A 14273-nucleotide genomic window follows, 5' to 3' on the forward strand; every position below is an offset into this window, starting at 1 on the left:
CTTATGCCAGTACCACACTGTCTTGACTACTATAGCTTTTTAGTAAGTTTTGTCACAGAGGAGTGTGTTCTTTTAACATTGTTCTTCTTTTTGAAGATAGCTTTGATTATTCCTATTTCAGCATTTTCATATGAATTTTAGGATGAACTTGTCAATTTCTGCCAAACAGGCACCTGGGGTTTCAATAAGGAATGTATGGAATCTATAGATTCATTTTGGGAGTATTGGCATTTTAATGATACTAAGTCTTCTATCTATGAACACAGATGTCTTTCCATTTGTTTAGGTCTTTTTAAATTATCTTCAATGATGTTTGGCAGTTTTCCATGTATAAGTCTTACAATTCTTTTGTTAAATTTATTCCTAAGTATTTTATTCTTTTTCATGCTTTGGAAATGTAATTGTTTTCTTAATTTCATTTTAGAATGCTTATTGCTAATAGAAAGAAATAACAGTAGATTTTTGTGGATTCCTTAGTATTTTCTATATAGAAGACCACGTTATCTATGAATAGAAATAGTTTTACTTCTTCCTTTCCAATCTTGATTACTTGTATTTAATTTTCTTTCTAATTGCCCTGGCTAGAACCTCCAGTACAATGCTGAATAGAAAAACTAAGAGTAGATCTCTGGGAGAAAGCATTCAATCTTTCATCATCAACTATGATGTTAGCTGTAGGTTGTTATTACTGTAAATGAACAATATCAGGTTGAGAAAGTTCTCTTCCGTTGCTTGTTTTCTGAGTGTTTTTATCATGAATAAATTTAGGATTTTGCCAAATGTATTTTCTGCATCTGTTGAGATGATCATGTGGGCTTTGTCCTTTATTCTATTAATATGATATATTGCACTAATTAATTTTTGTATATTGAGCCAACTTTGTATTCCTGGGATAAACCCTACTTGGTCATGGTATGTAAGTCTTTTTCTATGTTGGTAGATTCAGTTTGGTGGTATTTTGTTGAGGCTTTTTGCATCTGTATTCATTTGTAAGAGATATTGGTCTGTAGTTTTCTTGTGATGTCTTGGTCTGGTTTTGTTATGAGGATAATATTGGCCTCATAGGATAAGTTGAAATGTGTCCCTTATCTTCTGTTTTTTGGAAAAGGTTGTGCAGGATTGGTGTTAATTTTTCTTTTAATTCTTTAACTTTTGGTTTTGTTTATTTTCCCTATTTTTCTATTCTCTATTTCATTTACTTCCATTCTAGCCTTTGTTATTTCCTTCCTTCTACTTGCCTTGGGTTTAGTTTTAATTTCTTTTTCTAGTAATTTCATTTAAAAGATTAGGTTATTGCTTTGAGATCTTTCTTTTTTTTTAACGTGTTTTTGTTTATTATACTTTTAAGTTTTAGGGTACATGTGCACATTGTGCAGGTTAGTTACATATGTATACATGTGCCTTGCTGGTGCGCTGCACCCACTAAATCGTCATCTAGCATTAGGTATATCTCCCAATGCTATCCCTCCCCCCTCCCCCCACCCCACCACAGTCCCCAGAGTGTGATATTCCCCTTCCTGTGTCCATGTGATCTCTTTGTTCAATTCCCACCTATGAGTGAGAATATGCGGTGTTTGGTTTTTTGTTCTTCCGATAGTTTACTGAGAATGATGATTTCCAATTTCATCCATGTCCCTACAAAGGACATGAACTCATCATTTTTTATGGCTGCATAGTATTCCATGGTGTATATGTGCCACGTTTTCTTAATCCAGTCTATCATTGTTGGACATTTGGGTTGGTTCCAAGTCTTTGCTATTGTGAATAATGCCGCAATAAACATACGTGTGCATGTGTCTTTATAGCAGCATGATTTGTAGTCCTTTGGGTATATAACCAGTAATGGGATGGCTGGGTCAAACGGTATTTCTAGTTCTAGATCCCTGAGGAATCGCCACACTGACTTCCACAATGGTTGAACTAGTTTACAGTCCCACCAACAGTGTAGAAGTGTTCCTATTTCTCCACATCCTCTCTAGCACCTGTTGTTTCCTGACTTTTTAATGATTGCCATTCTAACTGGTATGAGATGGTATCTCATAGTGGTTTTGATTTGCATTTCTCTGATGGCCAGTGATGGTGAGCATTTTTTCATGTGTTTTTTTGCTGCATAAATGTCTTCTTTTGAGAAGTGTCTGTTCATGTCCTTCGCCCACTTTTTGATGGGGTTGTTTGTTTTTTTCTTGTAAATTTGTCTGAGTTCATTGTAGATTCTGGATATTAGCCCTTTGTCAGATGAGTAGGTTGTGAAAATTTTCTCCCATTTTGTAGGTTGCCTGTTCACTCTGATGGTAGTTTCTTTTGCTGTGCAGAATCTCTTTAATTTAATTAGATCCCATTTGTCAATTTTGTCTTTTGTTGCCATTGCTTTTGGTGTTTTGGACATGAAGTCCTTGCCCATGCCTATGTCCTGAATGGTAATGCCTAGGTTTTCTTCTAGGGTTTTTATGGTTTTAGGTCTAACGTTTAAGTCTTTAATCCATCTTGAATTGATTTTTGTATAAGGTGTAAGGAAGGGATCCAGTTTCAGCTTTCTACATATGGCTAACCAATTTTCCCAGCACCATTTATTAAATAGGGAATCCTTTCCCCATTGCTTGTTTTTCTCAGGTTTGTCAAAGATCAGATAGTTGTAGATATGCGGCATTATTTCTAAGGGCTCTGTTCTGTTCCATTGATCTATATCTCTGTTTTGGTACCAGTACCATGCTGTTTTGGTTACTGTAGCCTTGTAGTATAGTTTGAAGTCAGGTAGCGTGATGCCTCCAGCTTTGTTCTTTTGACTTAGGATTGACTTGGCGATGGGGGCTCTTTTTTGGTTCCATATGAACTTTAAAGTAGTTTTTTCCAATTCTTTGAAGAAAGTCATTGGTAGCTTGATGGGGATGGCATTGAATCTATAAATTACCTTGGGCAGTATGGCCATTTTCATGATGTTGATTCTTCCTACACATGATCATGGAATGTTCTTCCATATATTTGTATCCTCTTTTATTTCATTGAGCAGTGGTTTGTAGTTTTCCTTGAAGAGGTCCTTCACATCCCTTGTAAGTTGGATTCCTAGGTATTTTATTCTCTTTGAAGCAATTGTGAATGGGAGTTCACTCATGATTTGGCTGTCTGTTTGTCTGTTATTGGTGTATAAGAATGCTTGTGATTTTTGTACATTGATTTTGTATCCTGAGACTTTGCTGAAGTTGCTTATCAGCTTAAGGAGATTTTGGGCTGAGACAATGGGGTTTTCTAGATATACAATCATGTCATCTGCAAACAGGGACAATTTGACTTCCTCTTTTCCTAATTGAATACCTTTTATTTCCTTCTCCTGCCTAATTGCCCTGGCCAGAACTTCCAACACTATGTTGAATAGGAGTGGTGAGAGAGGGCATCCCTGTCTTGTGCCAGTTTTCAAAGGGAATGCTTCCAGTTTTTGCCCATTCAGTATGATATTGGCTGTGGGTTTGTCATAGATAGCTCTTATTATTTTGAAATACGTCCCATCAATGCCTAATTTATTGAGAGTTTTTAGCATGAAGGGTTGTTGAATTTTGTCAAAGGCTTTTTCTGCATCTATTGAGATAATCATGTGGTTTTTGTCTTTGGCTCTGTTTATATGCTGGATTACATTTATTGATTTGCGTATATTGAACCAGCCTTGCATCCCAGGGATGAAGCCCACTTGATCATGGTGGATAAGCTTTTTGATGTGCTGCTGGATTCGTTTTGCCAGTATTTTATTGAGGATTTTTGCATCAATGTTCATCAAGGATATTGGTCTAAAATTCTCTTTTTTGGTTGTGTCTCTGCCTGGCTTTGGTATCAGAATGATGCTGGCCTCATAAAATGAGTTAGGGAGGACTCCCTCTTTTTCTATTGATTGGAATAGTTTCAGAAGGAATGGTACCAGTTCCTCCTTGTACCTCTGGTAGAATTCGGCTGTGAATCCATCTGGTCCTGGACTCTTTTTGGTTGGTAAACTATTGATTATTGCCACAATTTCAGCTCCTGTTATTGGTCTACTCAGAGATTCAACATCTTCCTGGTTTAGTCTTGGGAGAGTGTATGTGTCGAGGAATTTATCCATTTCTTCTAGATTTTCTAGCTTATTTGCATAGAGGTGTTTGTAGTATTCTCTGATGGTAGTTTGTATTTCTGTGGGATCGGTGGTGATATCCCCTTTATCATTTTTTATTGCATCTATTTGATTCTTTTCTCTTTTTTTCTTTATTAGTCTTGCTAGTGGTCTATCAATTTTGTTGATCCTTTCAAAAAACCAGCTCCTGGATTCATTAATTTTTTGAAGGGTTTTTTGTGTCTCTATTTCCTTCAGTTCTGCTCTGATTTTAGTTATTTCTTGCCTTCTGCTAGCTTTTGAATGTGTTTGCTCTTGCTTTTCTAGTTCTTTTAATTGTGATGTTAGGGTGTCAATTTTGGATCTTTCCTGCTTTCTCTTGTGGGCATTTAGTGCTATAAATTTCCCTCTACACACTGCTTTGAATGTGTCCCAGAGATTCTGGTATGTTGTGTCTTTGTTCTCATTGGTTTCAAAGAACATCTTTATTTCTGCCTTCATTTCGTTATGTATCCAGTAGTCATTCAGGAGCAGGTTGTTCAGTTTCCATGTAGTTGAGCGGTTTTGAGTGAGATTCTTAATCCTGAGTTCTAGTTTGATTGCACTGTGGTCTGAGAGATAGTTTGTTATAATCTCTGTTCTTTTACATTTGCTGAGGAGAGCTTTACTTCCAAGTATGTGGTCAAGTTTGGAATAGGTGTGGTGTGGTGCTGAAAAAAATGTATATTCTGTTGATTTGGGGTGGAGAGTTCTGTAGATGTCTATTAGGTCCACTTGGTGCAGAGCTGAGTCCAATTCCTGGGTATCCTTGTTGACTTTCTGTCTCGTTGATCTGTCTAATGTTGACAGTGGGGTGTTAAAGTCTCCCATTATTAATGTGTGGGAGTCTAAGTCTCTTTGTAGGTCACTCAGGACTTGCTTTATGAATCTGGGTGCTCCTGTATTGGGTGCATATATATTTAGGATAGTTAGCTCTTCTTGTTGAATTGATCCCTTTACCATTATGTAATGGCCTTCTTTGTCTCTTTTGATCTTTGTTGGTTTAAAGTCTGTTTTATCAGAGACTAGGATGGCAACCCCTGCGTTTTTTTGTTTTCCATTTGCTTGGTAGATCTTCCTCCATCCTTTTATTTTGAGCCTATGTGTGTCTCTGCACGTGAGATGGGTTTCTGAATACAGCACACTGATGGGTCTTGACTCTTTATCCAATTTGCCAGTCTGTGTCTTTTAATTGGAGCATTTAGTCCATTTACATTTAAAGTTAATATTGTTATGTGTGAATTTGATCCTGTCATTATGATGTTAGCTGGTTATTTTGCTCGTTAGTTGATGCAGTTTCTTCCTAGTCTCGATGGTCTTTACATTTTGGCTTGATTTTGCAGCGGCTGGTACCGGTTGTTCCTTTCCATGTTTAGCGCTTCCTTCAGGAGCTCTTTTAGGGCAGGCCTGGTGGTGACAAAATCTCTCAGCATTTGCTTGTCTGTAAAGGATTTTATTTCTCCTTCACTTATGAAGCTTAGTTTGGCTGGATATGAAATTCTGGGTTGAAAATTCTTTTCTTTAAGAATGTTGAATATTGGCCCCCACTCTCTTCTGGCTTGTAGGGTTTCTGCCGAGAGATCCGCTGTTAGTCTGATGGGCTTCCCTTTGAGGGTAACCCGACCATTCTCTCTGGCTATCCTTAACATTTTTTCCTTCATTTCAACTTTGGTGAATCTGACAATTATGTGTCTTGGAGTTGCTCTTCTCGAGGAGTATCTTTGTGGCGTTCTCTGTATTTCCTGAATCTGAACGTTGGCCTGCCTTGCTAGATTGGGGAAGTTCTCCTGGATAATATCCTGCAGAGTGTTTTCCAACTTGGTTCCATTCTCCCCATCACTTTCAGGTACACCAGTCAGACGTAGATTTGGTCTTTTCACATAGTCCCATATTTCTTGGAGGCTTTGCTCATTTCTTTTTATTCTTTTTTCTCTAAACTTCCCTTCTCACTTCATTTCATTCATTTCATCTTCCATCGCTGATACCCTTTCTTCCAGTTGATCGCATCGGCTCCTGAGGCTTCTGCATTCTTCACGTAGTTCTCGAGCCTTGGTTTTCAGTTCCATCAGCTCCTTTAAGCACTTCTCTGTATTGGTTATTCTAGTTATACATTCTTCTAAATTTTTTTCAAAGTTTTCAACTTCTTTGCCTTTGGTTTGAATGTCCTCCCGTAGCTCAGAGTAATTTGATCGTCTGAAGCCTTCTTCTCTCAGCTCGTCAAAGTCATTCTCCATCCAGCTTTGTTCCGTTGCTGGTGAGGAACTGCGTTCCTTTGGAGGAGGAGAGTCGCTCTGCGTTTTAGAGTTTCCAGTTTTTCTGTTCTGTTTTTTCCCCATCTTTGTGGTTTTATCTACTTTTGGTCTTTGATGATGGTGATGTACAGATGGGTTTTTGGCATGGATGTCCTTTCTGTTTGTTAGTTTTCCTTCTAACAGACAGGACCCTCAGCTGCAAGTCTGTTGGAATACCCTGCCGTGTGAGGTGTCAGTGTGCCCCTGCTAGGGGTGCCTCCCAGTTAGGCTGCTCAGGGATCAGGGGTCAGGGACCCACTTGAGGAGGCAGTCTGCCGGTTCTCAGATCTCCAGCTGCGTGCTGGTAGAACCACTGCTCTCTTCAAAGCTATCAGACAGGGACATTTAAGTCTGCAGAGGTTACTGCTGTCTTTTTGTTTGTCTGTGCCCTGCCCCCAGAGGTGGAGCCTACAGAGGCAGGCAGGCCTCCTTCAGCTGTGGTGGGCTCCACCCAGTTCGAGCTTCCAGGCTGCTTTGTTTACCTAAGCAAGCCTGGGCAATGGCGGGCGCCCCTCCCCCAGCCTTGCTGCCGCCTTGCAGTTTGATCTCAGACTGCTGTGCTAGCAATCAGCGAGACTCTGTGGGCGCAGGACCCTCTGAGCCAGGTGCGGGATATAATCTCGTGGTGCACCGTTTTTTAAGCCGGTCTGAAAAGTGCAATATTCGGGTGGGAGTGACCCGATTTTCCAGGTGCGCCCGTCACCCCTTTCTTTGACTCGGGAAGGGAACTCCCTGACCCCTTGCACTTCCCAAGTGAGGCAATGCCTCGCCCTGCTTCGGCTCGCGCACGGTGCACGCACCCACTGACCTGCGCCCACTGTCTGGCACTCCCTAGTGAGATGAACCCGGTACCTCAGATGGAAATGCAGAAATCACCCGTCTTCTGCGTCGCTCACGCTGGGAGCTGTAGACCAGAGCTGTTCCTATTCGGCCATCTTGGCTCCTCCCACCTTTCTTTTTTTTAATATAGGCATTTCCAGCTGTAAATTTCCCCCTGAGCACTAATTTAGTGGTATCCATAAATTTTAGTATGTTGGTATGTTGTGTTTTCATTTTCAATCATTGCAAAATATTTTCTAATTTCTTTTGAGATTTCTTCTTTGACTCATTGGTTACTTAGGAGTGTATTATTTAATTTCCACATATTTGTGTATTTCCTAAATTTCATTCTGTTATTAATTTCAAATTTCATCTCATTATAATATGTTTTGAAAATTGGAAGTGTGAATTCTTCATCTTTGTTATTTCTCAAAAATTTTCTGAATATTCTATATCTTTTGCATTTTCATATGAATTTTATGGTCAGGTTTTTCAACTTCTGGTCAAAAGCAAGCTGGGATTTTAACAGGTATCATGTGGAATTGCAGAACAATTTAGATAGTACTGCCATTGGGTTAGTCTGTTTTACATTGTTATAAAGGAATACCTGAGGCTGGATAATTTATAAAGAAAAGAGGTTTATTTGGCTTAAGGTTTTGCAGACTGTACAAGCATGGCACCAGCATTTGCTCAGCTTCTGGTGAGGCCTCAGGAAGCTTTTATTTGTGGCAGAAGGCAAAGGGGGAGCAGGCATGTCACATGGTGAGAGAAGGAGCAAGAGAGAAAGGGAGGGTTGCCATGCTCTTTTAAACAACAAGCTCTCACATTAATGAATAGAGCAAGAACTCATTCATGATAGCCATGAGGGCACCAAGCCATTCATGAAACATCTGCCTCCATGATCCAACACCTTCCATTAGGCCCCACTTTCAACATTGGGGGTCACATTTCAACATGAAATTTGGAGAGGACAAACATCCAAACTATATTAGTCATCCTAACAATATTAAGTCTTTTGACCTATGAACATGTGATATCTTTCTATTTATTTGGTAGGTTGTGTCTTAACTCTGTCTCTGTCACATTTCCATTTATTCAATATTTCATTCATTCACTCATCAAATACTTGTTTTATGATACTCAAACTGTGCTAGATACTCTTTTAGGCACTGGAGATGCAACAGTGAACAAAACAAATTTCTGCCCTCAAGAAACTTACATCCTAGTAATGGGGAGAAATAGGCAACCAATGAAAAGATAATTAAAATATACAGTATGTCACTGTTTACATCCATTCACATGAAATACAAAAACAGAAAAAATTAATCTATGCTGTTAGAAGTCAGGATGGTGGTTACCCTTGGAGTTTGGGAGGAGGACAGAAACTGGAAGACAGCACGAAGAGACTCCTGGGGTGATGGTAATATTCTGTTTCTTGATCTGGATGCTAGTTACATGGTTGTATTCAGTTTGTGAAAATTAATTGGGCTGGACACTTAAATGTACTTTTCTGTATGTATATTATAAAGTAAAACATATTTCATATATCAGATGATGAATAGTCATACAGAGGAAGATAAAGCAGAGAAAGCAGAATAGAAAGAGGGGAGTGGCGTAGGGAGGGTTGTAATTTATTTTATTTTATTTTGTTTTATTTTATTTTATTTTATTTTTGAGACAGAGTCTTGCTCTGCCACCCAGGCTGGAGTGCAGTGGCACGATCTTGGCTTACTGCAATGTCCACCTCCTGGGTTCAAATGATTCTCGTGCCTCAGCCTCCCGAGTAGCTAGGATTACAGGCATCTGCCACCATGCCTGGCTAATTTTTGTATTTTCAGTAGAGACGTGGTTTCACCATGCTGGACGGGCTGTTCTCGAACTCCTGACCTTAAATGATCCACTGCCTTGGCCTCCCAAAGTGCTGGGATTACAGGCATGAGCCACTGTGCCTGGGATGAGAGTTGTAATTTTAAATAGACTGTCCAGAGAAAGCTCATTGAGGTTAAATTTTAACAAAGATTTGAAGGAGGTGAGGGAACTGGGCCTTGAAGTGGGCAAGGGCTGGTGGATTTTGGGCAAGGGCTGGTGGATTTGAGGAACAGCCAGGAGGCCAGTGGCTGCAATGAAGAGAGTTCATGAGACAGTGTAGGAGTTCAGATCAGAAAGATAACAGGAGGCTAGATTGCGTGGCGTCATAAAGTCCATTGTAAGGGTTTTGACTTTTGCTCATACTGTGGGAAGAGATGGAAGAAAGCCATTGGAGGGTTTTGAACAGAGGAGTGAAATGATGTGACTTATATTTTATAAGGATCTTAATGGGTACTTTTGAGAAGATGGTGTCTTGGTTCAATGTGTTAGTAGTGGAATTAGTGAGAAGAGATTGGATTATGTATATATTTTTGAAGGTAGAGCAAATATGATTTGCTGACAAATTAGATGAGGGGTATAAGGGAGAGAAGTCAAGTGATGACTAAAGCTTTTGCCCTGAGCCACTGGAAGAACAGAACCACCATTTATTCTGATTAAGAAGTCCTGGAATTTGGTTTGGGACATATTACATTAGAGATGCCCATTTGAAACATTTGAGGGGAAATGCTGAATGGGTGGTTGGATATAAAACTGGAGTTTAGGAGAGAGGTCTAAGCTTGAAACATAAACCTGGGAGATGTCAACCTATAGGTGGTTTTTCAAATTACGAGACCAGATGGGCTCATCAAGAAAGTAGACACAGACGAAGAAGAGTAGAGGTTCAGGAACTGAGCCCTGGAACCCTCCAACATTTATAGTCAGAGAGGCAAACAGAAACCAGTGAAGAAGAATAAGGAGTTGACAGTAAAGTAGAAGAAAAACTAGGAGAAGTGTCATGACCTGAAAGCAAATGAAGAAAGCATTTCAGGGAGGAAGGAGTGTTTGACTGTGTTGAAGACTACTGATGGGCCAAGTAAGATGAAGACTGAGAATAGATCATTTGATTGAAGGAATGTAGGCAACTTTTGGGCACTGAGAACAGATCACTGGAATGCTAACACCGAGGACAGTTTGCTTCAAAGAGGGGCAGCACAGAAATGTGTATTAACTGGAGAAGTTATAGTGTGTCATTTTTCATTTTCTTTTAGATGGGATAAATAGTATGATAATGGACAGACGGAGAGGGTAAACTTGATGCTACACAAGAAGGGGAAGAATTGCTGAGCAATGACTTTCAGGAGGCAGAAGGATAGGGTCTAATGCACAAGTACAAGGTTTGCCTTAGGTAAGATTATGTACAAGGAGGTAAGATAAAGTATATGGACATAGATGCAGAAAGGTGGAGACTGTGGTAGGGAAAGCTTCTGGAAATTCTCTTCTGATTGCTTCTAATTTTCTTAGTGAAACCAGAGGCAATTCATCAGCTGAGTGTGAGGCTGGGGATGGCAGTATTAAGGAAAAAGAATGAAAACAGTCAACTAGGAGAGTAGGAGATGCTAACTAAAGAAATATACCAGGCATCCCGGGTAGTGCTAAAGGCACTTTTGAGGTTCAAAGTCATGAATTTTAAGTGAGAAAGGCTGGGTGCAGTGGCTTACACCTGTAATCCCAACATTTTGGGAGGCCAAGGCAGGTGGATCACCTGAGGTCGGGAGTTCGAGACCAGCCTGACCAACATGAAGAAACCCTGTCTCTACTAAAAATACAAAATTAGCTGGGCGTGGTGGCACATGCCTGTAATCCAGCTACTCAGGAGGCTGAGGCAGAAGAATCACTTGAACCCGGGAGGCAGAGGTTGCAGTGAGCCAAGATCGTGCCATTGCACTCCAGCCTGGGCAACCAGAGCAAAACTCTATATCAAAATAATAATAATAATAATAAAAACACAAATTAAAAAATAAAGTGAGAAAACTCAGTGTGGTTGTATATTTTTATCCAGCCTAATTTAGCTGCTTGAGTGCAAACACAGAATGGGAGGAGAGTTGGGTTAATTGAATATTGAGGTTTTGCCGTACAAGCATGACAGAGGAAGACCTGCATGCTAGAAAGTGATTATAATGATCAACCATGGAATCTAAGCTGGGTTGGGGAGGATGAAGGATGCAAAATGAGAGAAGCACAGTGAAAAAGTGGTAGGATCATTGGATTTTAGGCCCTGATGGCAACCAAAACATTGTTAGAATTGGAGTATCAGAGAAAGTGAGTTGAAAGGATAGAAGGTAGTTGCTGAAGAGTAGGATGCTTGAAATTGAGATAATGGAGAAGTCGTGATTATTGCCAGTGATAAGATCTAAGTTCTAACCATGAGGAAAGTGGCTAAAATAAAATAGAGAAAAAAAAATCCTTGGAGGAGAGGAAGTCAAGATCCAAAGGAGGTCATGGGATAGATCATTTATGAGACAGTGACATCAAGAGTTATGACAGAAGCAGCGATGTAGAGCTTGACAAAGTCAGCAGCTAAAATCGAGGAATGGTAGGGGTGGGGAGAGGAACAATAGAAAACTGTAATGAAAGTGTAGTGGATAGCAAAGTCTAATGACATGATGTTTTAAACTGAAGGTTTGTAGAGGAAAGAGCAAGAAGGATCCAGTTTATGAAAGATGTTGTAAAGAAAACCAGCACCACTTGAAAGGGCTATGGAGGAAGTGTCCTCAGAGGGGAGCCAAGTTTCAGTTAGAAAACCAGAAGGTGAGGGAAATGTTAACAGAAGCTCAGAGTAGAAGGGATTTGTTGGTGATTAATAGCAAGTTCTAGAAGGCACAATAGAAGGGTTTCAAATGTTAGGTGTGGGTTTTGGGGTCAGAAAAGGGAAAGTACAGAGCCATATGGCTCAGAGTCCCTGAGATGAAGGATGAACTGGGGGTCTTGGGCTTCTTGTGGTTAAGTACGAATTGGGGAAAAATGTGATGAGATTAGATTTGGAGGTCTCAATACAAACCATGATGGTAAAGCTGTTGATGTTGTGTGTGGGAGGCAGAGAGAAGGGGCAGGGAGGAGAGGCAAGGATATTGCCAAGATTAGAGTTCTGAGGTACCATTATTCACTCTCAGTTATAGAGGTGTAGAGGCCAGGGTGGAGCAGACTTATCTAGAATAAGGAAAACTCTGGAAGTCCCTTTGGATTCATATGGATTATGGTGTGGAAGCTGGAGAATGAGAAGCACGACAACATATTACAACTCAAGGGTGCTCTATTCACATAGACTCTAATGTGATGGGCACCCCTGGAGGAGTGCAGTGGGACTCCCCTGGAAAAACACACTCTATAGTGCCTCAGAGTATATTTGCAAACTTATTGCATTGCTGAAATTCATTATTATTTATCTTTTCACAAGATTGTGAGTCTCTCATAAGCAGGGATGAAATTCTCTCTTTTCTGGCTCCTGGCATATATAATAGGCTCTTGGAATATGCATTAGCTCTTAATTCCCAAGTCTTATTATCATGGCTCCAGAGATACAAAATAACTTAGAACCTTGAAATGGAAATGTGCAACCCCTTGATTCCTTTTCTTAGGGTACATCAGGAGCATCTTCCTCCCTTCTACTCCTGTGGGCTCACAAACTAACAAGCAAAGTCTACAGTCTTTCATTGGCCTGGGATAACTTCCTTGCAGAGCATACTAGAATGTGGTAGCATTTGCTGACCTAATGACATCAGCTCCTCTTCCATGTGTCTCAGTCCCATAAGCCTAACAGACACAAGAGTGAGTGCTAGGCTACAGCCCAGGGCCTAGTTTGCTTCTGTTTCTCTTCTCTCTCTCTGAAAGTTAGTAAAAATTTCATCCCATTCACTCCCCTTTTCTCTTTTCTCTAATTCTTCCCCAACCAATACTTGTTGAATTAATGAATGGGTAAATTAGAATTTCATCTTACAAATGAAGGAGAACTGCGTAACAGTGAATGAGTTGAGGGCTACCACTCTTAGGGAGAAGAAAGAATTTACTTTGTACAGCTATTCTTTCCTGTGTGACTTCAAGAAATGCACTGTAGATAAATGTAGGATCTGCCTCTAACACAAAACTCAGGCCTATCCTGTTTTCTTTCTTTCTTTCTTTGCAGGGAGAAAGTATCCCCATACCTATTAAGAGATTTGAATAACATCTGCCCAAGAGTCTAATCATCTTGCCTTTAGCCACAGGTGCTCCTGGTTTTCTCTTGTGGATATTTTGTCCTAGACCCCTACCTATCATAAACAGAAAAAAGTAAGGTAGTAATAGGTCGAGTATGTTGCATGTTGACAAAAACTATAGAAGCTTCCACATTTTGCCTCCCTTAGGTTTGTATGTCAGATCTTGTTTCTTTATCTCTATTTCTGTCTTTTATTTATAAGATTTACTTTTATTTTCTCTTATGTATCTCCCATGTTAAATTCTGAGTGAAATTCAAAAATTTTAATTGCAAAAATGAAAGAAGATTAAAAGTCTAATGAACTGTCCATTTTGTGTATATTTCATTGGTGTGATGCTTCAGCGATGGATGACTTGTAAGGGAGTTCAGAGCAGAGAAAACCTGCCCTAGGTTTCCTCTAAGCAAGATTTTTTTTTTATTTTTTGGTAAAATGTGTCTCAGTCTGTTTCCTGTTGCTATAACTGAATACCTGAAACTGGATAATCTATAAAGAAATAATTTTTTTTTTTTTGAGACAGAGTCTTGCTTTGCCACCTAGGCTGGAGTGCAGTGGTGCAATCTCAGCTCACTGCCACCTCCGCCTCCTGGGTTCAAGCGATTCTCCTGTCTCTGCCTCCCGAGTAGCTGGGATTACAGGTATGTGCCACCACATCCAGCTAATATTTGTATTTTTAGTGGAGATGGGGTTTTGCCATGTTGGCCAGGCTGGTCTCGAACTCCTGACCTCAGGTGATCTGCCTGCCTCGGCCTCCCAAAGTGTTAGGATTACAGGCGTGAGCCACTGTGCCTGGCCAAGAAATTTATTCCTTACAGTTCTGGAGGCTGGGAAGTCCAAGACTATGGCACCGGCATCTAGTGAGGGCCTGCTTGCTGCAAATTAACATGGCAGAGTGTATCACATGGTGAGAGGGTAAGAGTGTGTATGTCAGCTCAGGTCTCTCTTCCTTTTTTATAA

General features: G+C 40.1%; 1 pseudogene across 2 annotated transcripts in view, besides 1 other annotated feature; it reads left to right on the forward strand.

The window, feature by feature from the left end:
- Positions 1 to 14273, forward strand: part of BTNL12P (butyrophilin like 12, pseudogene) — a 73965-nt pseudogene that overhangs the window by 21877 nt on the left and 37815 nt on the right. The gene's annotated exons all lie outside the window — the stretch shown is intronic.
- Positions 6467 to 7073: an enhancer, noted in NCBI's record as "NANOG-H3K27ac-H3K4me1 hESC enhancer chr3:120096604-120097210 (GRCh37/hg19 assembly coordinates)". NCBI's record gives its function as "activates a minimal SCP1, AML or CMV promoter by ChIP-STARR-seq in primed H9 embryonic stem cells {active_cell/tissue: H9 hESC(primed)}" and the evidence as "EXISTENCE:reporter gene assay evidence [ECO:0000049][PMID:30033119]".

Source organism: Homo sapiens, chromosome 3, assembly GCF_000001405.40.
Source record: "Homo sapiens chromosome 3, GRCh38.p14 Primary Assembly".
Taxonomy (NCBI): domain Eukaryota; kingdom Metazoa; phylum Chordata; class Mammalia; order Primates; family Hominidae; genus Homo; species Homo sapiens.